We start from the raw sequence: 23,609 nt of genomic DNA, 5'->3' as shown, positions 1-23,609 counted from the left end.
TGTAGATACCATTTTACTTTACTTTTTCCAGGAAAACATGAAATATTAAGAAAAATGTTAAGACTTTAATTCTCAAATTATTATTATTATTTTTTAAGACAGTCTTGCTCAGTCTTCCAGGCTGGAGTGCAGTAGCACAATCTTGGCTCACTGCAGCCTCTGCCTCCCAGGTTCAAGTGATTCTCCTGCCTCAGCCACTGGCGTAGCTGGGACTACAGGCACCCACTACCGCACCTAGCCAATTTTTGTATTTTCAGTAGAGTCAGGGTTTCACCATGTTGGCCAAGCTGGTCTCGAACTCCTGACCTCAGGTGATTGGCCCGCCTCAGCCTCCCAAAGTGCTAGAATTACAGGCATGAGCCACTGCACCCAGCCTCAAATTATTTTTAAGCAGAGATTGGCTGTATGAAATTAATTAGCAGAAAACCCATAGAAGGTTTTTAAAGAAATCTCTGAACTGAATGTAAACAGATCATTGAAACTAAAGGTATATCCTCCTACAAGTTCTCAAAGAACCCAAAGTTCACATCATGGAACTGCCTATTAGAAGATTGTTATTCCTAAAATAGTTAAAAGAGCTTCAGATGTGACATCAGGTAGTAGCAAATCTCTTTCACAAAGGCAAACTGTCAAACCAGTTGTAAGGGAAAGACAGTTGTGTTGATGGGTTTTTCTAAAGGATAAATTATGCCTAAGTTATTCTTGATTATTTTATTAAACCCAAAAAAGGGACAAAGGAAAACCAGTTTGGATATCCTTTAAACAAGTGGAAAAGTAACTTGTATATAATTAATTCGGACAATGTCTCTGTTTTGAAGTGTTAATGTGAGCCTCCCATTACTCTCTGGCATTTGTTAGCATTCCACAGACAGTGTCATTGTTCCAACCAAAGTGCCCTCGATGGGAGCTGCTGCCCCCACCTCCTGTTTGAGCAGTGGAGCAGACCCCAGAGTTTAAACAAGGGCAACCTTAGAAATGGCAAATTAGCCACCAGAGGAAATAGTATGAAGGGCATGTGGAGGTGTATATATATTTTTTTTAATATATATTTTTTAACAAGAGAGAAAGGAATTAACCCACTTAAAAATATAAATCAATTAATCGAACAAATCTAAATAATTCCACCTCCATTATCCCCATGCAGAAATAAAATAAAAAACTAAACTCCTGTTCTCAGCCTGTCCCAATCACTTGAAGAAATCAATGATTGCTTGCTCCAGGGTTTAAATGTTATGTTCACCCTTTTTTGACCGTACTGTACCTAACTTTCTAAGTTACGATGTGATGCATTCAGCTGGTTGGATATTTTCTTGGTTATTAGAGCAGCCTAAGTTTACTCAACTTGTATTCATCTGTATTTTCTGGTTTTCTTAAAGAAGTTTTCCTCTTATGTATTCTAAATCACCATGCCTCTTCTCTGGCTCTTGCCTTTTTATTACTTGGTTCTAATTAATCCTCTCTTCCCTAAAAGAGATATTTTGACAACCTGTAAATTTGAAGTTACCTCAACCACAGTGGATATTTGTACTTTTTAAATATTATTTTTTGAGAAAACTGTGTCAAAAATAAGGCTCATAAAAGTGTTTTTAGGAAAATTACCTATGATGCCATTACCCAGACATAGCAATTTTTATTGTATTTCTTGATACCTTGTACACACATACATGTTTGCAATCTTGTATAAAAAACACCTTGCATCCTACTTTTCTCACTAATTTAAAGATATTTAAAGGTTAGCCATAGCTTTCCCTCCCCCACACACAAATAATCAGAAGTCTTTGACAAGATTACAGACAAGAAACTATGTACATTTTGAACTGACTTGCAACATTATTGTTGGAAATTATCCAATACGAATAGAACTGGCTCAGAGAGAGACTAAAGATGCTGGCTATTCAGGCAGTCCTCTGAGTCAGGTCTTCTGATGCCTGCCTGAGGCTCACATGCCACACCAAAATTAAGACCAGCTATTTTACTCTGTAATTTCTAAGATTAAGCAAATGATGTCTTTGACTTGAAGCCAGTGTGATCTGTGGCCAGAATGAAAAGGGGGAGGAACGCAAATAGGCTCCCATGGGGAACTTCCCTGTGCCTGGTCCTGTGCTGGCCACTTCCTCCAGGGCATCACACGTGACCTTCACTCTCTGTGAGTCAGGTAGCCATCTAGTTTTCATAGAGGAGAAAATCAAGGCTCAGAGAGGGTTAAGCCACTCATCCGAAATACCATGGCAGCAAAATGCATAAGGGCATTTGCACACTGACCCGCCCAGCTTCCAACCCGGAATTCTGTGTAGCATGCCATTATTTACTCCGTTTCCATCTGGGAATCCTGAGTCACTTTTAATTATTTTCCTCTCAGTTTTGTCTCATCTTCTCAAAAGGTTCAACACTGGAGCATTGTACATTGTTTCCAAGGATATCTTGGAAGACAATGAACTCTATCAACCTAAGTTTACAGAACAGTTAACCTGTTTCATTAGATGCAGAAGTGGTTCCTGAATAACTTCCCTTTTCAATGACCGTTATTTTGGTTCCTACTTCTTATGCTTCTGTGTAACACATACAATATCATTATTTACTTGTTTTTACTTTCTAATTCTTAGCTATATTTTATCTGTCTTACTTCTTTTGTGACCTCTGTGACACAAGGTAAAAGACTGCTAGAAATACTTCATTAATATTTAACGTATCTGCCTTTTGGATTTCTCCTGAAGCAGGTTTAGCATCGGCCCTACAAAATACAACTAAAGTGATCAAAACGTGAAGTGGGTTGGCCAGAAATGGACAAGACTCAACAATACTGCAAGTCCTTTCGAGCTACATTAAAGGCCGTACTTATAGTATACCCTGATCTGTCATGGAATACTAATGCCACTTGCTTTCTTCCTCATACAGGCCGTACTCCAAAAACACCAGACTGGTACAATCCAGGTGAGTTAAGAAAACTGAAATTTAACCAAAGCTGCTTTTACCTTGTCACTAATGCATTTAGTTAATTATTTAAGTGCCAGCTTCTTCTCTATACATCTTCAAGTGAGACAAAATTTCTCCAGGCAAGGAAGGTGAGCGACTGGTATGGGATGAGGTGATGAGGGTGACTTTTTCCTTCCCTGTGAGTGTAGGGGAGTGGCAGAGTCACTGGCTCAGGAATCTCTTGTTCCTTGTAGTCAGTACTGCCCCAGCCAGAGAGGGCCGGTAATCTGAATTACTATTTATAGTTTTGAACATTAACTCATGCTTAGAGGACACAGTTTGCTTTGCATAGTCATAATTCTAATCTTTTTCTTCTTCTTCTTTAGACCGTGCTGGAATTCATGGACCTCCACTTATAATTGAAGGAAGTGAATATTGGTTTGTTGCTGATCTTCACCTAAACTATGAAGAAGCCGTCCTGTACTGTGCCAGCAATCACAGCTTTCTTGCAACTATAACATCTTTTGTGGGACTAAAAGCCATCAAAAACAAAATAGCAAATGTAATTTAAAAGAATATATTTTAAATATATTTCTTATTTTTGTATTTATTCCATTTAAAAATATTACAAAAATTTTGCCAAAATCTACAAAAGTTAAATTTTTCTTTAATGTAAAATCTGCCTCACAGCATCCAAATTTGTTTCATGTTAGAAAAATTAAGTAGAATTGCTTATGTTTTAAAATATACAAGATTAATAATAAATGTCACTTTATAAGGTAAACATCAGTAGATAATATAGATCATTCTAATTTCCTGTCACATTTTTTACTAAAAGTCAACTTTATAGTTAACTTGAGTTTCTGTTTCTACTAATAAGTAACTTTGCAAAATAATTTTTGGGAAGAAAAATAATTTCTGTATTTTTAAATTTATAATCAATTGCAATAGGATACTGTATGCCCACTTAAAGTATTAGTCTAATTAATATATGCCCATAATTACAGCTACCATATTTCCTGTACCCACAATAGGATCTGTAAATATACTGAGAAATTTCAACTACTCTTTGGCAAAAGGTTCTAGTTTGTATAATTTTGAAATCTAAGTAAGGAATGTCTGGAAATTTTAGTGGTTAGTGATTATAGTAAGACAATGTATTCGAATCAAAACCCTCAAGAAAGCTCAGCACATATAAGGATGGATGTTTGGCTTGTTTTTCAGATATCTGGTGATGGACAGAAGTGGTGGATAAGAATTAGCGAGTGGCCAATAGATGATCATTTTACATAGTAGGTGACATCATTGATTCTACCTTTGTAAAGTTATCACTTAAAAGAAGCAGTTCCTTTTACTAAATGGATTTCTATTTATAAGTAGTTTGAATATTAATCCATAAACTGCCTAAATTAGAGAAACCAAGCCCTTTTGCATGTTAGCATCAAGAAAAAAGGGGTATAGAGTAATGGTATTAACATTAAATTTAGAAATAAAATAACTTACAGTAAAAAGAAAAAAATGGAACACCTAATTACATTACGAGTTGTCAAATCTGTCATTTTCTTTTAGCTCACGATATCCATGGCACCGCTTTCCTGTGACATTTGGAGAGGAATGCTTGTACATGTCTGCCAAGACTTGGCTTATCGGTAAAGTTAATTCTAAATCCTTTAATGCTGATTATGTAATATGTGAAGTTCAGGTTCAGTTTCTAGCTTAATCTTGTTTTCCTTTTAATTATATGTTTGGTAATTTCATCTTATTCTGATTTATTATTAGCAACAATAGCTCAAATTCCCAATGCAAATAAAGGTACTTTTCACTGTGAATATTTTAACTTCCTTTATCCTAAAGCAGTTACTTAGTAATAAACTTACCACTTTCCTAACTGATAAGTGTCTAAGCAAATTTTCAAAGATAAGCAGGCAGCAGTTCTAAAATATAGTTTAAGTCCCCTCCCCCTGATTACATTGCCCCTTCAACTCTCTTCCTACCTCCTGCCTTCACCCTGGGATGGTATGGTAGTCACACAAAATGTGTGCTGTTTCATAGACAGTATTGGTATGCTGTAACCTACTGATAAAAATAATCATAGAAGACAGAAATGGCTAGAGAAGAAAGGGAATATATTTTAAGCATTTAGGAAAGATTGATTTCAAGAGCCTTTCTTTACTACTGGGTTGCTTTTAAAATGTGCTGACTTGGCCGGGCACGGTGGCTCATGCCTGTAATCCCAGCACTTTGGGAGGCTGAGGCAGGCAAATCACTTGAGGCAAGGAGTTCGAGACCAGCCTGGCCAACGTGGTGAATCCCTGTCTCTACTAAAAATACAAAAATTAGCCAGGTGTGGCAGCATGCACCTGCAATCCCAGCTTCTTGGGAGGCTGAAGTATGAGAATCACTTGAATCTGGGAGGTGGAGGATGCAGTAAGCCAACATTGCACCACTGCACTCCAGCCCCGGGCAACAGAGCGAGACTCTGTCTCAAAAAAAAAAAAACAAAAAAAAACACACAAAACAAAATAAAAATGTACTGACTGAAAAATTCTCACCATAGTAATCCTGGCTTTTCATTTCTCAGACTTAGGTAAACCAACAGACTGTAGTACCAAGTTGCCCTTCATCTGTGAAAAATATAATGTTTCTTCGTTAGAGAAATACAGCCCAGATTCTGCAGCTAAAGTGCAATGTTCTGAGCAATGGATTCCTTTTCAGAATAAGGTAAAAAGAGAATTGCTACATTATGCAACAATGATTGCTTCCATGCTGGTTTTATAGCCTATGGCAGAATGGCAACCCATTAGTGACAACATCACTGAAATAGACTCTGCATGTTTCAGGATCCCACCTGGCCCTCTGTGTTGCCAGAAACCGTGGATGATATCAAGAATTAACTCTCAAGTTGGTCATGCCTACAGGTCTTTTAAAGTGCAGCATTTCTATTTTGTTGCTACTAACACTTAAATTGCTTAAGTTGATCTGTTGAGGGATTGGGATGCATTGAATAGTCAGGACTGTCTCTATGGCCTTATAGGAAACTGACTTAATTTCTGGCTTGTGTTTTCTTTTTCCCCTCAAGGAGAGCATCCAAGCAGCATCTGCCAATCAAATTAGACCAGCATTTCACAAACTACTTTTTGGGGACTACACACATGCTACAAAATGTTAATCATTGATCTTGCCTCCAAATGGGGGTTTTATGATTAAATAGGTTTGAGAAATGCTGCATTCTGTATCTGCCTCTTTGAGATGCATAATCCATGTTGGTATATGTATGTATTAGGAAATGCATTTGGCTTCTGAAAAGAGGTTGCTACAGTATGAGAAAAGATTTATTCTGTCACATTAAAGACATTTGAAGATAAGCAGGTTTGTGTGGAAACACCATGAAGTCTTCAAAATCAGGCTTCTTTTGGTTTTGCTCTGCCATCCTTAATATAAGGCTTCCGAGCTTAAATTCAGGGTGTTCTCTCTAGGGTCTTTTCTAGAAGTTACCCGATGAGTTTGTCCACATTGGGTAGCTTGGCTCATTGGCCACTCCAGTCTATAAGAAAGCTGAAAAAAAAATTTTTTTTGTAAGATATTTCAAGGAACACAATTTGGGACATACCACTCTACACTAAAGTGATCATAATGTGAAAAAGGGAAAAAAGAGATGTGTCTGACAGCTGAAAGCATCTGTAGTAAAGCTAGGGGTACATTTTAACTTTTTAAAATTAGGACAATCTTTTTAATTCCTCAAGGTAATAGTACTGTGTTAATTTGCATAGCTGATATAAATTTGAATTAAAATATCCTGCCAAGAAAGAGATGAATTTTTCAACAGTGTTTCTTGACATAAGGAGATGATGATTAAGGACACAGATTTTGAAATTAGGTGGAACAGAGTACAGATACTGACCTTACTATTGTGTGGCTATTTCACTTATGGATGAAGTTATTTAATGTCCCTGTGCCTCAGTTTCTGTCTCCATTGTGAGAATTAAATGAGATAATACTACACAAACTGCTTAACACATAGGAAGCACTCAATAAATGAGAGATCTTTAAATATATAAAGATATAATATAAAATATATATTAAAGATATAATATACAATATATATCTTATATATAAGATATAATATATATATATATATATATATATATGAAAGTTTGAAGACCGCTCTTCAGTTGTTTCAATTGAGAAGGTAGCTTGAGCCTGGAAGCTCAAGGTTACAGTGAGCTATGATTGCACCACTGCACTCCGGCCTGTGCAACAGAGAGAGACTCTGTCTCTTAAAAAATTAAATAATTAATGAGAGCATAAACTTGAATTCTTATGGTACTACATTGCAAATTACCATATCTCACAGACCGAAAATTAGCAGCCCTCTAAAAGATGAAGCATTTTACTTCCTATGTGAGCGTTCCTGTGTCTGGAATCTCATGCTTCACATATGTCTTTGTTTGCAGTGTTTTCTAAAGATCAAACCCGTGTCTCTCACATTTTCTCAAGCAAGCGATACCTGTCACTCCTATGGTGGCACCCTTCCTTCAGTGTTGAGCCAGATTGAACAAGGTACTGGAATTATTTGGGAAACATGTTTTATTCTGATCTGGGGCCAGGTTAGTTTTAGGAGGCTATGGGGAATTAACATACAAAAATTCTTATTAAACTTCTTTTGTTATGGAACAGATAAAAGACTATGTTGATAGATAAACAAAATATATTCATTGACATTTTTAATGTATCTTTAATTTGAATAAATCAAATGCTTTTTAAAAATCTCTTTCTAACAGACTTTATTACATCCTTGCTTCCGGATATGGAAGCTACTTTATGGATTGGTTTGCGCTGGACTGCCTATGAAAAGATAAACAAATGGACAGATAACAGAGAGCTGACGTACAGTAACTTTCACCCATTATTGGTTAGTGGGAGGCTGAGAATACCAGAAAATGTAAGTTTTTTTAAAAACCAATACTCTTCATACCTCTGTGAAATACTTGAGTCTTTCATACATTTTTGGACTAAGCAAAACCCCACTGTATTATTCCATTTGTATGAAATGTCCAGAATAGGCACATCTAAGATAGTAAGTAGGTTAGTGATTGCTAGAGGCTACGGGGGATGGAAGGATTGAGAATAGTGCCTAAAGAGTATGGAGTTTCTTTTGGGGATGGCGAAAATGTTCTAAGATTTATGGGGTGATGGTTGTGTAACTCTGTGAATATACTAAAAACTATTGAATATGTACTTTAAATGAGCGAATTGTCTCATATATGAATTATAGCTCAGTAAAGCTGTTGCAAGAACAACAGGTGCCTCCCCAGCCTTCTGATGGATGTACTGGTTTTTCACAGTAGCATCAGATTCCATAGCACTTATTTCATAACCATATAAAACCATCATGTAGTGAGTTGTAAATAGAAGCAAATACAGATGTTTTGCTTTACATTTTGGGACTTTGGGCTCTCAGCCTCAGTCTCCTGAGGCAAAAAGTACAAAATTGGTAACTGGTGATCATTTTTCCCCAAGAGCTAAATATAGGGAAGTCAGAGAAGGGAAGAGGGCATTATACTGACAGTAGTTATGCTGACACCACAGTATTACCGCCCACTGCTTCTGTTCTCTATACTTTCTGGATGCAGATTACCTTTTGCACAAAGGGCAAAGATTGAGAAATTAACATAAAAGTCTAATTCCAAAAGTATGTCTTAGACAGTAATCAACTGATATTCCTGACATAATGTTACTTTGCTCAAAGTTGATGTTGGTAGCAAAGGAAGTTCTCAATCGTGAGTAACTATGTACAATATAAATATCAAATTATTACTTGGTTATTATAGAAGATGTGGAAGTTAGAGTAAACGCAGCAATGAAAAATGTCAACCCTAATCTTAAGACAGTTTAAACTTTTAAGCATAATCTATAGTAAGAAATACATTTAAATCACCATCTAGTATATAGATATAGATATAATATTAATTGAAACAAAAGTTTCAAGAAACAATACTTACCCTTATAATTTATGCACTCTGATATGTTCGTTCTCTTCTATTTTGTTCCATTCTCCTGTCTTATCCTATCCTTTACTGTCCAATCCTACTATCTCCTATTCTGTTCTATTTCATTATCACAAATACTTGCCAAAATCCACTTAAGTGATTTCATGATATACGAAATGAGTCTCAACCATATTTGAGCCCTAGACTAGGGAATTACAATGAGTACTTGAGCATCTTTTCTTCTAGGGCTTTTCCATACACTGTTTTCTTGATATAAGTGAGATCATAGTATATATACTATTACTCTGCTTTTCTCAGTTTGTATTATATCATAAGTAGTTTCTTCAGCCATTAAAAGATCTACTTGATAAGCTTTTTAATGGTTGCTGGGGAACAGGTGGTGTTTGGTTACACGAGTAAAGTCTTTAATGGTGATTTGTGAGATTTTGGTGCACCCATCACCTGAGCAGTATACACTGCACTCAATTTGTAGTATTTTATCCCTCACCCCCTTCCCATCCTTTCCTCCTAAGTCCCCCAAAGTTCATTGTGTCATTCTTATGCCTTTGCATCCTCATAGCTTAGCTCCCACTTATTAGTGAGAACATAACGATGTTTGGTTTTCCATTACTGAGTTACTTCACTTAGAATAATAGTCTCCAATCTCATCCAGGTTGCTGTGAATGCCATTAATTCATTCCTTTTTATGGCTGAGTAGTATTCCTCCATCATATATATATACATACATACATATATATACATATACACACACACACACACCATATATAAATACACACCATATATATACCGTATATATGGTGTGTGTATGTGTGTGTGTATATATATATATATATATATATATACACACCATAATTTCTTTATCCATTCATTGACTGATGGGCATTTGGGTTGGTTCCACATTTTTATAATTGCGAATTGGATTGCACAATATTTCTTGATTGATATGCCATCATTTACCTAACCAGTGCTGGGTGTTAGGTTGTTTCCAGTTTTACACAATCATAAATAGTGCTGCAATGAACACCTTTGTGTATAATCTTAGCCTATATTTCACATTACCTGCAGAGAGATTTTGGAAGTCATGTAGCCAGATCAAAGGATATAGGTAATATAAAGCTCTGATTACCAACTTGCTTCCAGAAAGGTTTATGAATTTACATTCCTATTCACAGCATATTGTGATTGTCCTTCTATCCTCACCAGCATATTATTAATTTCCAACATATATCAAGCAGTTAAGATGTGCCAGGCACTCTGCTAATGTATCACATACATTATTTCATTTAATTTGCCCAATAGCTATGAAATAAAGATGTTACCCCTGCCCCACCTTAGAAAAGTGAAGATGGAGTCAGTAACTTGCCAGAGATCATGCAGCCTATGCATGCAGAGTCACGGTTGACATCTGGTTCTGGGTGGGCATGGTGGCTCACGCCTGTAATCCCAGAGACTCTGGAGGCTGAGAGGGGGAGGCCTGCTTAAGCCCTGGGGTTCAAGTCTGTAGTGAGCCATGATTGCAACACTGCCCTCCCATGTGGGCAACAGAGCAAGACCCTGTCTCTAAAAAAAATTGTTTTAATTAAAAAATGAGAAAAAAGGCTGGGCGTGGTGGCTCATGCCTGTAATCCTAGCACTTTAGGAGGCCAAGGTGGGCGGATTGCCTGAGCTCAGGAGTTCGAGACCAGCCTGGGCAACACAGTGAAACCCCGTCTCTACTAAGAAGTACAAAAAATTAACCGGGCATGGCAGTGTGGGCCTGTACTCCCAGCTATTCAGGAGGCTGAGGCAGGAGAATGGCTTGAACCTGGGAGGCGGAAGTTGCAGTGAGCTGAGATCGTGTCATTGCACTCCAGCCTGGGCGACAGAGCGAGATTCCATCTCCAAAAATAATATAAAATAAAAGAGAGAGAAAATAAAATTGCCTTTAAAGAGCACTTGGTTTTTAAAATTCTTCTTAATTTGGTAGTTTGATATCGTATTTTCATTGATCTTTCTCTGATTTCTAATGAAAACAAACTTCAATAAGTTAAATAATCATTCGTAGTTCATCAAGTGGGAGTGTTCTTTTTCTTTGCAAATTTATCTATCAAACCCTTCATGTATTTCTTATTGATTTTATGACTTTGGAAATATCAAATATGCTGATCCTGTATTTCTTGTGTTTATTGCAAATACTTTCCTAAGTTTTCTTTAAGTCTGAATGCCAAAAATATTACAGAAATAAATTTTGACTATTTTTTAATATGTTCAAATCTGTATATTTCCTTTTTATTTTTCCTCTGTTGCTTTTAGGTTAGAAAGTCCATCATGTAAATTGTAAATATTAGTTAAATATATGTCCATATTTTCTTCTAGTTTTGTTTCATAGGTTGCCTTTTTTTGTTGTTTTTTCTGACACAGGGTCTTACTCTGTCACCCAGGCTGGAGTGTGGTGGTGCATTCATAACTTACTATAACCTGACCTCAAGCAATCCGCCTGCCTGAGCCTTCCAAGTAGCTAGGACTGCAGGAGCGCACCACCATGCGCAGCTACATTTTCTAATTTTTTTGTAGAGACAGGGTCTCATTGTGTTGCCCAGGCTGGTCTGGAACCCCTGGCTTCAAGTGATCCTCCCACATGGTCCTTCCAAAGTGCTGGGATTACAAGCAGGAGTCACCACACCCAGCCTCTGTTTTTTGTGTGTTTTTTTTTTCCCCTTTCTGATAGCATGTTACATCCATGGTATATGATACATGTTGTCAGTGCATGCTTAATTATTTTCCCTAATCCTAGCCACTTGTTCTAGCATCATTTATTACATATACTTTCATTTGTTAAAAACAATATAGGCCTGGGCTAGCACTTTGGGAGGCTGAGGCAGGAGGATCACTTGAGCCCAGGAATTTGAGACCAGAGACCAGCCTGGGCAACACAGCAAAACCCTGTCTATGTTTAAAAAAAAAAGAGAGAGAAAACAATATAGCAATATAGGATGCCTCTTTTATCATATATTAGGACTGTGTGTGTATGCATATATATGTGTATGTGTATATATATATACTGTATTTTATAATATTTATATCAGTATGGTAGCTATTTAAAAATATTTCTCATATACATAATGTGTGTATGTGTGTATATAACATACAAATACAGTCAGCCCTTCATATCCATGGGTTCTGAATCTGGATTCGACCAACTGCAGGTGGCAAATATTTGAGAAAAAAAATTTTTTAACCTACATCCTCCTGTATACTTAAATCATCTCTAGATTACCTATAATAGCTAATACAATGTAAATGCTATGTAAATAGTTGTTATACTGTATTTTTTAGGGAATAATGACAAAAAAGTCTACATGTTCAGTACAGACAAAAAAAATTTTTTCTCAAATATTTTCCATCTGCAGTTGGTTGAATCCAGATTCAGAACCCACGGATATGAAGGGCTGACTGTATTGATATGTTATATACACACATACACATATTATATATATGAGAAATATTTTTAAATAGCTACCATACTGATCTAAATATTATAATTTTACCATATTTTTAAAAACTATAATAGGATTAATTATACTTTATTACATGCCCTTAAAACATACTTTTAGATATTCTTGTCCATTTTTCCAGGAAAACTTTAGAATTATTAGTCATTTTTCATCCAAATAGTTAAAATTTTAAAACTCTTGATGAGAATTTGACTACATGTTTGGGAGAATTGACATCTTTCTATTAATCTTCCAATTCATGAATTTGATATATCTATTTATTCAACTCTTCCTTTAGATCACTCTGTGAAGTTTTATAGTTCCATCTCTTTCTCATTGTCATTAACAATGGCAACTTTAGCTATAAAAAGAATGGAATCATGTCCTTTGGAGCAACATGGATGGAGCTGGAGGCCATAATCCTAAGCAAATTAACACAGGAACCCAAAACCAAATACTGCATGTTCTAACGTACAAGTGGAGGTTAAACACTGAGCACAGGGGAGAGGGAGGGAGGGGGACCTGGGTTGAAAAACTACCTCCTGGGTACTGTGCTCACTACCTGGGTCCAACACACCCATTTAACAATCCTACACATGTGCCCCCATATCTAAAATAAAAGCTGAAATTTAAAAAAAAAAAAAAAAAGAATGACAGCTTTAAAAAATTTTTCTTACTGATTTGTGGGGAAGCTATTGTTTGAATTTGTTATGGGTTTTTTTTTCCCCCATAGGCATCTGTCTCACTAAAAGCTCTTTCTCTCTGAGTTTTTCATTAGATTTTCTTGGGTTTCCTAAGTAGCTAATAATAATATACAAGCAACAGTGACCCTCGTTCCTATAGTTACCTCTCTCGTTTTCATTTCATGCCTCACCACATATGCTAGAATTTCCAGAATTTCCATGGCAAATACCAGGAGCAGTAGTAGCCACCATTGTAGACTTGATCTGGACCTCAACAGGTTGTTAAACATTATGTTGACTCTTGGTTTAAGATATAGCATTCTATAACTAGCTTGTTTAGAACTTTTAATCAGGAATAAGTACTGGGTTTTCTAAAACTTGTTCCCAGCATCTGTTAAGATTGCCATATAGTTTTTTTTTTTTTTTTTTTTACCATTAGGCCTATTTGTACGTGGTATATATTAGTAGATATTGTATTAAACCATTTTACATTCTTGTTGTAAAATCTGGGTGCTCAGAGTGGATTAATATTTTACTATTCTGCATTATATTTGTTAGAATTTTACTTGGGAATGTGTTCCTCTCTCTTCATAGAGTCAATTTCTTATGCTATATTGTCATATTTTTTTCTGATCATGTTAGCCTCATAAAATGACTGGGTAGCTTTCCATCTTTTCTGTGTTCTGAAATTCTGACTCAGCTTGGGGAATTCTCTTTCCCTGAAAGTTTGGGGGAACTACCTACAAAATGTTAGAACCCTTATCCAGGAGCATTTTTGCTTTTTAAAAAATTTTAATTATTCCTTATTTATAATTGACTCATAATAATTGTACCAATTTATCAGGTGCAGTGTGATGTTTCAATGCATGCATGTGTTGTATAAACAATCTGATCAGGGTAATTACCATATTCCTCACTTTAAACATTTATCTTTTCTTTGTAAAGATAACATTCAAAACCTTCTCTTCTATGTGTCTTGAAATATACACTACATTGTTCTTTGCAGAGATCATACTCTAATGATAAAGGAATTTGGTGCAGCAGTGAAGGGCCCAAGCTCTGGAGTCAGATTGCCTAGGTTTGAATTCCAGTTCAGCCATTTACTATGCCTTTGGAGGTTTACTTAACTTTTCTTAAGCCTCAATTTCTTATCTGCAAGCTCTAATTCTGTTGCATTACCTTATAAGGTCAATATAAGGATTATATAAGATAATTTATTTAAAGCTTTATCAATAGTACCTGACAGACAGTAAAAAAAAAAAAATGGCCATTATTAATTTTCCATTTCCTTCAAAGTGATTGTTACATTTTGGTATTTCCATTTTTCGTTATGACAATTATGCTAATTGGCATTTTTCAAGAAAGTTGTCTATTTAATTTAGATTTTCAAATGTATTGAAGTAAAGTTGCTTATGGTATTTAAAAAATCTCCATTATCTTTGCTAACATTTTTAGTTTGCATTATTTACATTTTTACAAAAACAGATGCATGTTATTGGTTTTGTCCACTCTCTTCTCCACCCTCTACTCCTATTGCTTGACCTGTGTTATAAATACTATTTCTACCTTTTTCTACCCCATTTTTCGTGGGGTTCTGTTTTTGTTCATTTTCCAATCTCCTATATTGAATTCAGTTCATATTTCCTTTAAAAAAAAGAGAATATATTTAATAATACACATTTGGCTCCACATAAAGTTTTACTCATACCAATTTTTTTGACATTTCTCATTTTATTCTTTCCTATAATTATTTTAGTTCATTTTTGGTTTACTATTTATTGAGTAGCATTTTTTTTTGTCAGTATCTCCTGGTATAAACTTACTTTTCTTATTTTTCTAAGTGTGATATGTTTCAAACATACAGAAAATGATAGGGATAATATACTTGGAATAAATTTTCATATCTAATATTATTGATTGTGATTAGAAAATGAAATCTAGATACTTCTGTTTTAATATATGGAGATTTTTATAGTGACTAGTATAGGATCAGAGCTTTAAGGTATATTCTGTTATGTGGTACACAACTTGTTACAAAAAGTCTATAAAAATCTAATAAGTTGAATTAATAATCATTATGTTTTGCTTATACTGTAGTCGAGTGTTAAATATTGCTGGAGGTGTTTTATCTTATTTCTAATAGTTTATCTCTTTAAAAATATGTTTATCAAGATTGCCACTATTTTGTTTTTTATAAAGTTAATTGCCCTTTATCCATGCTTTGAAAGTTTTTAAAGATTTTCTAGGAAATGTCATGGTCAGGTCCTTCATGGAATTCTTTTATAGGGGGACAAATTCAATCTAGAATCTAAACTTTTCTTGCTAGGAGCTTCAGACCATTGTTACATGATTGCATGTATGTATTTGCCTTTTTGTTTAGTTTTTTGAGGAAGAGTCTCGCTACCACTGTGCCCTAATACTCAACCTCCAAAAATCACCGTTTACTGGGACGTGGAATTTTACATCCTGCAGTGAACGCCACTTTGTGTCTCTCTGTCAGAAATATTCAGGTAACAATTATTATCTAGATAACTATGGTACTTTATGCTATTACATATATATATATAGAGAGAGAGAGAGTCACTTTCTATAGGGAGGGAGGGGAACATAGGTTGAAAAATTACCTATTGGGTAGTATGCTTACCACCTGGGTCCAATACACCATGTAACAATCCTACACATGTACCCCCTGTATCTAAAATAAAAGCCGAAAAAATTTTTTAATACTATAAAAGAATTTATATTAATTTATAATCATATGGCTTAAAATTTCAGCATGGCTAAATCCATATTGGGTTAGTGAGTCAGAGTTTATCAAATGGAATGTGATTTTTTTAAAGGATCATTGCCATAATTAATTAAATTAATTAATTGTATCTGATGGAATTTGTTAATAGTAGTTATCCCATTATAGTAATTGAATTTTGTTCTTTTTTCTACTCTGGCATTTTTCAGATTTTACATTTTATTATGGGAAAAGGAGAAAAAAACTTCATATTTTTAATTGAGTGCAGTATTGAGTATTAAGTCCACTAATAGTATTCACTGTTAAATTTAGCATTAACAAATAAACAAGTGGGGGTTTGAAACATTATAAACAGATCACTGTCTATGCCTTTCCATAATCCAAATAAAAGTAGAATGCATACTTAAAAGTAGGCATCATCCATATTTTGAAAAATATATTTTTAAAAAAGTATTACATTATTTTTCATTGATCACAATGTGTTTTTAACAAATGATCAAGAAAAAATTTTGTCATATAATGAGAACTGTAAGTAGATATCTCATGTGCTTTGGCAGAATTTTTTTTTGCTAAATTAATCTTTACCCATTTTTTCCATGTTTTTAACTAACTCCTTTATTAGCGAAGTACTATAAAGCAATAATTCAAATACCTCCTCTTGTGGATGGTTTCTTACATTTCTTCATGCTAGCTCTCCCAGGTGAAAACTTTGTAAGGGGATACTTAATACATTTATTTCCTTCAAACAAAAGAGGTATTTAGCACCGACATGACATGATAATGCAGGTTACATTTATTTGCAGATATTCTCTTCATAAATCAGAAAAATGAAACAGAATGTTGTTCTGATTTTAGAAAACAAATGTTGCAGCTCACACATTTTCCTTAAGGTATACAGCAAGACATACCTAATTCTCTCACCCAAAATCTAAAATAAATAGGCAAATAATATCTAAATTAGATTAGTATGGGGAGAAATGTGAAAAAAATGTCCCATAACTTGCAGAGTGTGGGGAAGGGTTTGTTGTTGTTGTTGTTTTCTTTTACATGCAGAAGTTAAAAGCAGACAGACGTTGCAGAATGCTTCAGAAACTGTAAAGTATCTAAATAATCTGTACAAAATAATCCCAAAGACTCTGACTTGGCACAGTGCTAAAAGGGAGTGTCTGAAAAGTAACATGCAGCTGGTGAGCATCACGGACCCTTACCAGCAGGCATTCCTCAGTGTGCAGGCGCTCCTTCACAACTCTTCCTTATGGATCGGACTCTTCAGTCAAGATGTAAGTGTTCAGTCCCAACTGCCAGGACTGGGTGATGGAAAGCGACATTTTTTATTGTGCATAGCTTCTCTCACAGCAGACTAAAACAAACAGAAGAACTGAAAATCTTACTCCAGTAAATTTCATGGAATATGTCGGGGTTTTTAAATTTTGTTTTGAGACAAAGGCTCACACTGTCACCCAGGCTGGAGTACAGTGGTGTGATCACACTTCACTGCAGCCTTGACCTCCCGGGCTCAAGCGATCCTCCCACCTCAGCCTCTTGAGTATCTGGGACTGCAGTTACACACCACCATACCTGGCTAATTTTTGTATTTTTTGTAAAGATGAGGTTTTGCCATATTGCCCAAGCTGGTCTCAAATGCCTAGACTCAAGCACTCTGCCCACCTTGGCCTCCCAAAGGTGCTGGGATTACCAGCATGAGCCATGGCACCTAGCAGCAATATGTGGTTTTTAGAGGCAATTATCTTTCCACTATTGAAAGATCTAGTACTTCATTGTTTAAATGAGGAAAAGGTTCTGGTGGAGATATATATATATTTGAGCACTTCTTTTTATTTATTCTAATCAAAGACGAGCTAGAATCTGGAGCTGCCATATCTCTTCAGCCAATGAAAAGATAAGGGAAGAATTTAAAAATCAGTTGTGTGGAAGCACTATGGATAGTGTTAAAGAGTCCTTTCCATCCCTTTCTCTTTTTTCTTTTTCTTTTTTTTTTTTTTGAGACAGGTTCTTGTTCTGTCACCCAGGCTGGAGTACAGTGGTGCAATCTCGGCTCACTGCAACCTCCACCTCCAAGGTTCAAGTGATTCTCATGCTTCAGCCTCCTCAGTAGCTGGGATTACAGGCATGCGCCAACACGCCCAGCTAATTTTTGTATTTGTAATAGAGATGGGGTTTCACCATGTTGGCAAGGCTGGTCTTGAACTCTTTACCTCAAGTGATCCGCCCGCCCCAGGCTCCCAAAGTGTTGGGATTAGAGGTGTGAGCCACCACGACCAGCTTCCATCCCTTTCAACATCAGCAGCATGGCTGGGCACCGTGGTGCACACCCGTAGTCCCATTTACTCTGGAGGCAAGAGGATAACTTGAGCCCAGGAGTTCAAATCCAGCCTGGACTACATAGCAAAACCCCAGTCTCTAGTTTAAGAAGAAAAAATTCAGCAAAGTAAAATTAAGCAACTCTGAAAAGGAGGTTGAATAGTGTTTTCCTCCATCTCAAGTGCTGATCCTAGATAGATGTCTCAAGCACTTCTCATTCATTTCAGAGCCCAACAAAGAATGCTAGTCTCCTACTAATTCGCATCACTAACCTCTGCACATGTAGCACAAACCGGAATCATTACACAGCTGAAGTTTTGGCTATAATTAAATAAGGGATTTTTAAATAAAGCTGTGGTATTCCTATTGGCATTATAGGCCACCTCTTTTCTCAGCCATGGTATATCCCAAAGTATACCAGGATGGGTCTAGGGATGCATGGAAAAAATGCGATTGAAGACTCAGAATTGAACTGAAGAATGGATGGAAAAACAAGAATTGTTATCAAAAGCTCAATTAAAAGTAGCATTTAGGAATAGCTTAAAGAATAGTCTCTCTGAGCCACAGGGTATTCTAAAGTTAACCCAGATCGGCCGGGCATGGTGGCTCATGCCTGTAATCCCAGCACTTTGGGAGGCCAAAGTGGGTGGATCACTTGAGGTCAGGAGTTTGGGACCAGCCTGGCCAACATGGTGAAACCCTGTCTCTACTAAAAATACAAAAATTAGCTGGGTATCATGGCGGGCGTCTGTAACCCCAGCTACTCAGAAGGCTGAGGCACCAGAATCACTTGAACCTGGGAGGTGGAGGTTGCAGTGAGCCGAGATTATACCACTGCATTCCAGCCTGGGCGACAGAGTGAGACTCCATCTCTAAATAAAAAAATTAATTAATTAATTAAATTAAATTAACCCAGAGCAAGCCAGGAGATGGGGAAGCTGCTTACTCAGTCCTCACAGTCTCAATTGTTTTATAGCATTGCATTTACTTGCTTTATCTTCAGCATTGGAAATTCTGTGAAACGCTTTGTTGTGTCTGTTGTGAGGAAACAATAGGTGATTACATTTCCTAGTTTCAGTCACCCTAAATCTTTTGAGACAAAAACAGTATTGCAATGTAGAAAATTTGTCAGTAATTAAAAGAACAAAATTAAAGTCACCTGTAATGCCAGTACCTAAAAATAAACATGATTCAATCAATATTTTGGTATGGATCTTTCAAGTTATTTTTCTATGTGTACCTATTTATTTTTTAGACAGTTGGAATCAGACTATTTTGTAACTCCCCTCCCCACTTAATGATTTGGGTCTTACTTCTTATCCTATTTTCAACCTTTACCTATGGTTCTCTTTTCCCTTTCACCCTTAATTTTAACATATTCTGTGTAGCTGTTTAACTATATATCCTAATAGCTGCCTTAATTCTTTGAAAATGACAGGATGTTAATAAATACTTTACATTGAAAGCAATGAGAAGATATTGAAAGATTTTAAACAGAGTAGTGGCAATATAAGACTTTACTTAAGTAGACGACACTGTGTGGAAGGCCGGGGAGGACGCAAGCAGCTGGAGAGAGGGAGAGCAGTTATTTTTCTATAAATTCATGCAGGAAATGCTGTTGGCGTTTACAGTGTCTGAGGAGAGGCAGCTCTGGGTTATGTGAAGTGCAGAGTGTGGCCATGCAGTGGGTCACTCAAGTACCCAGCTTGAAGAAATAAAAATACATAGAATTAAAGGAAGTCAAGAAGGCTTGGAAACATGAACACAGGCATCCCAAGTTAATGGTAGGACCGGGAGGACAGCAAGAATTGGGACATCTTAGTGAATGTCAGGGAGGAGCAAGGCGACCAAGTCCTCAGTGAATGTCATGGGGAGTTTGCAGTGATACAAGGGGAATAATCCTGAAAGGAAATAAAAGGAGATAAAAATATCCACTACTCCTTTCTCATAGTCCTGTGGTATCTGAGAATAGAATATCAAATAGTCTTCCCCTGTGGGTGCTGAAAGGAGATTATTCCCTTGGAAAAGCCAGATTTATGTATTTATTTAAGATTCAGGGGGTACACATGCAGGATTGTTACAATACATACACTGTGGGATGCTGAGGCTTGGGCTTCAGTTGAACCTGTCACCCAAATAGTGAACACAGTACCCAATAGGTAGTGTTTCAACCCTTGCTCCACTCCCTCCCCACTTTTGGAGTCCCCAGACAATATCATGCCCATCTTTACATCCATGTGTACCCAATATTTAGCTCCCACTTATATAAGTGAGAACATGTGGTATTTGGTCTTCTGTTCCTGCATTAATTTACTTAGGATAATGTCCTCCAGCTACATCCATGTTGCTGTAAAGGAGATGATTTCGTTCTTTTTTATGGCTGCACAGTATGCCATCATGTATATGTGCTACATCTTCTTGATCCAATCCACTGCTGATGGACATCTAGATTGATTCCCTGTCTTTGCTGTTGTGAATAGTGCTACAATAAACATATGAGCGCAGGTGTATTTTGGTAGAACGATTTGTTTTCCTCTGGGTATATACCCAGTAATGGGATTGCTGGGTTGAATGGTAATTCTATTTTTGTTTTTTGGGAAATCTCCAAACTACTTTCCGCAGGGGCTGAACTAATTTATAATCCCACCAACAATGTGTGAGCATTCCCTGGAAAAGCCAGAGTTAAATTAAGATCAATTAAGATCAAGAATTTAGTGAAAAGATATTTATAGTCTTCATACTTTGTATTCAGTAAAAAGATAAAAGGTGTGGGATGATTTATTTAGATGGAATGGAAATTCCAAAGGATCAGGGACAGGGTTAGGTGGGGAGTGCAGCAAAGGGGAAGAAATGCAGGGCAGTCTGAATGAGTGCAGGCAAAGTCGCATGGCCGAAGGGCCACACTGGAGGCCACAGTGGCTTAGGCCCTAACTGGGTTAGGTTAGGGGCTAGGATTACAGCTGGAACTCTGGTCATGAACATTTCAGAATGAAGCAGCGAGTGGTGTTGAGGCTTGACTGTGTTGCTGTTTATGGTTTACTAAGGAGACTGTGTCGCTTCGTTCCATATTTCAAATAAACTAGTGATGCAGATTGTCTTGGGACTCAGGAAAGCTTAGCTCAGTGGGTCTGTTAGGCCAGCACCAGGCCCACCAGTGGGTATGTAAGGTCTCTGGCAGCACCATGGGGAAGCTCAGACAGGCCTGTACCCCACAATCCATCTCCTGTACCTAGATGGGTGGTCAGGACCTTGGCAGGGTGTAAAGGCAGACGTTCACAGACCTCTAGCACACAACAGAATCTAGTGAATGAAGAAGCTTCTCTCCCCAACAAGTGTGAAAACAGTGATGTGAGAGCCACAGCGCCTGAAGAGTTCAGAGGAAGGGAACCACCAGCTCTCTGTGTGCCAGCTAGCCCCTGGGTTGCGGGCTTTACACATGTTATCCCATTAATTCCAGCCCCACGAAGTTAAGTGTCACACTTAACTTGGTAGGGGATGGAAATTTGGAGAGATGGCACATGAAAGCTAGTAAGTGACTGAATCAGGATTCAAAACCATGTAGGTTTAGCTCCGTAGCCCATATTCTTTCCACTATGCCAGGTGGTCTCTGATCTAATCAGTACTTATAGTGATCCTCACCCCATTTTAGCTTTCTGATTTCTGATAACCAGTGGATCCAATTATGTGTGAGGCAGCGTAGCATAATGGTTAGGACATAGACTCTGGGGATCGACAGCCTGGCAGAAAGGCCCAGCACTGTGGTTTGTATTCTGTGGGACTTTGCACAAGTTACATACCTTTAGTTTCCTCATCTTTAAAATGGAGATAATAATAGTACCTCTCCTATATGGTTGTTACAAGGATTAAGTAAGCCAATATTTGTAAAGCATTTAGAACAATGCTTGTTATGTAGTAAATGGTATGTAAATGTGTATTAAATATTAAAAAAATTAAAAATCATTAGATTGACCATGGGAGTCAAAATAATACAAAGGGTTAACATCAATATTGCCACCTGAAATGTACTTCTGCTCCTTACAGGATGAACTCAACTTTGGTTGGTCAGATGGGAAACGTCTTCATTTTAGTCGCTGGGCTGAAACTAATGGGCAACTCGAAGACTGTGTAGTATTAGACACTGATGGATTCTGGAAAACAGTTGATTGCAATGACAATCAACCAGGTGCTATTTGCTACTATTCAGGAAGTATGTGAATTTCAGATCTTTTAATTCTTAAATTATTAACAGTCCCATAAGTGGTAGAATTTCTGAGGAGTGGTTTTATAAAATCTGGTTTTGGAATTGTGAAGAAATTATAGTCATGTCTTTTTATGGCAACATTTGTTGTGAAAATTTGTATTCAAGTAGAATTATATATTACATATATTATTATTAATGGGTCATTTTAGGCATGTTTTATTTTTATGTCAGCTGACAATGGGGATTAACACTTAAAATCCCATTGTTACTCTACCTCTTTCTGCATATATTTATAGTTGTAGAAAGCTTACATTTGTGAGAATTCTTTTGTGATTCATAATATCACAACTAACAGGACTTTTATGAGTCTTAAGATTCACAGCAACCACCTCAAGCTAGCTTAAGACAAGGGGAAATTTAGGATCCCCAAAACGGGGATAGAGCTGAACCTATAACTGGAGATGAGTTGACAATTTCTAAATTTCACTTTGTAAATCCCTAGAGAACATCTCATGAACTTAGCCTGAGTCAGGTGTGCAGTCTCTAGCCCAGTCAGAGGAAAGTGTTTTTACAACTGGCAAGGTCACATTTGTGGGTCTGTGGTAGAAAGAAGACACTGCTTCATGGACAAAGGGACTTATTGTGATCCAGGAGAGATACTGAGTGATCTCTGCCACATATTAAATCAGTTTAATGTATTTGAGTGGAATATGTTTATATTTGTATCTTTGTGAATGTATGGCCTTTTCATAAAATGGAAAAAGATCATAATCAGATACTGTAGATGTCAGATTTTAAATATTATTTTTGTTTGACTTGGTTAAAGCAATAACTTATTTAGAACATCAATGTTTCATTTAAATGTTCCTTTAAAATTAATAGTATCAGTAGACAGAAACTTTAAAATAAATTCTCAGAGTTATAGTTAGGTGACTTTTAATAATGAATATGTTTGTACAGCATCTCTAGGGGTGGTCCCTTGTACTTGACATTTGGTAATGCAGGAAGACAGAAACTGCATTTAACCTAATAGCACCTCATTTTTTACATTCTTCCATGCCACAGCAGGGGTAAGAAAATTGTGTCAAGTAATTTCCTTCCTATAGAAAGCTGGCTTTTTGTGTGCTATATCTGAGTATAAACAGAGACAGGCTTCACCAGGATATTACTTCTCGGCTTCCTGAATATTTCCTACAAATCAAGCCTAATGACTGCAAACAGGATTTAACATTTATATCTCAAATTAGAATTCTTACCATT

General features: G+C 36.6%; 2 protein-coding genes across 3 annotated transcripts in view; both read left to right on the top strand.

The window, feature by feature from the left end:
• Window positions 1–23,609, top strand: part of LY75-CD302 (LY75-CD302 readthrough) — a 136,129-nt gene that overhangs the window by 46,922 nt on the left and 65,598 nt on the right. For both annotated transcript variants that reach the window (NM_001198760.1, NM_001198759.1), the window contains exons 17-26: window positions 2,896–2,931; window positions 3,300–3,475; window positions 4,138–4,205; window positions 4,483–4,562; window positions 5,495–5,634; window positions 7,368–7,473; window positions 7,695–7,855; window positions 15,461–15,590; window positions 16,880–17,106; window positions 22,190–22,355. In NM_001198760.1, coding sequence (NP_001185689.1) covers window positions 2,896–2,931; window positions 3,300–3,475; window positions 4,138–4,205; window positions 4,483–4,562; window positions 5,495–5,634; window positions 7,368–7,473; window positions 7,695–7,855; window positions 15,461–15,590; window positions 16,880–17,106; window positions 22,190–22,355 — 1,290 coding nt within the window. The remainder of the gene's footprint in view (window positions 1–2,895; window positions 2,932–3,299; window positions 3,476–4,137; window positions 4,206–4,482; window positions 4,563–5,494; window positions 5,635–7,367; window positions 7,474–7,694; window positions 7,856–15,460; window positions 15,591–16,879; window positions 17,107–22,189; window positions 22,356–23,609) is intronic.
• LY75 (lymphocyte antigen 75) overlaps window positions 1–23,609 on the top strand; it is a 101,402-nt gene that overhangs the window by 46,922 nt on the left and 30,871 nt on the right. Inside the window, exons 17-26 of the mRNA NM_002349.4 lie at window positions 2,896–2,931; window positions 3,300–3,475; window positions 4,138–4,205; window positions 4,483–4,562; window positions 5,495–5,634; window positions 7,368–7,473; window positions 7,695–7,855; window positions 15,461–15,590; window positions 16,880–17,106; window positions 22,190–22,355. Coding sequence (NP_002340.2) covers window positions 2,896–2,931; window positions 3,300–3,475; window positions 4,138–4,205; window positions 4,483–4,562; window positions 5,495–5,634; window positions 7,368–7,473; window positions 7,695–7,855; window positions 15,461–15,590; window positions 16,880–17,106; window positions 22,190–22,355 — 1,290 coding nt within the window. The remainder of the gene's footprint in view (window positions 1–2,895; window positions 2,932–3,299; window positions 3,476–4,137; window positions 4,206–4,482; window positions 4,563–5,494; window positions 5,635–7,367; window positions 7,474–7,694; window positions 7,856–15,460; window positions 15,591–16,879; window positions 17,107–22,189; window positions 22,356–23,609) is intronic.

The sequence above is a fragment of the Homo sapiens genome, chromosome 2 (assembly GCF_000001405.40).
Source record: "Homo sapiens chromosome 2, GRCh38.p14 Primary Assembly".
In the NCBI taxonomy this organism is placed as follows: domain Eukaryota; kingdom Metazoa; phylum Chordata; class Mammalia; order Primates; family Hominidae; genus Homo; species Homo sapiens.
The sequence above is the reverse complement of the archived record's forward strand: the minus strand, read 5'-3'. Positions and strand labels throughout refer to the sequence as shown.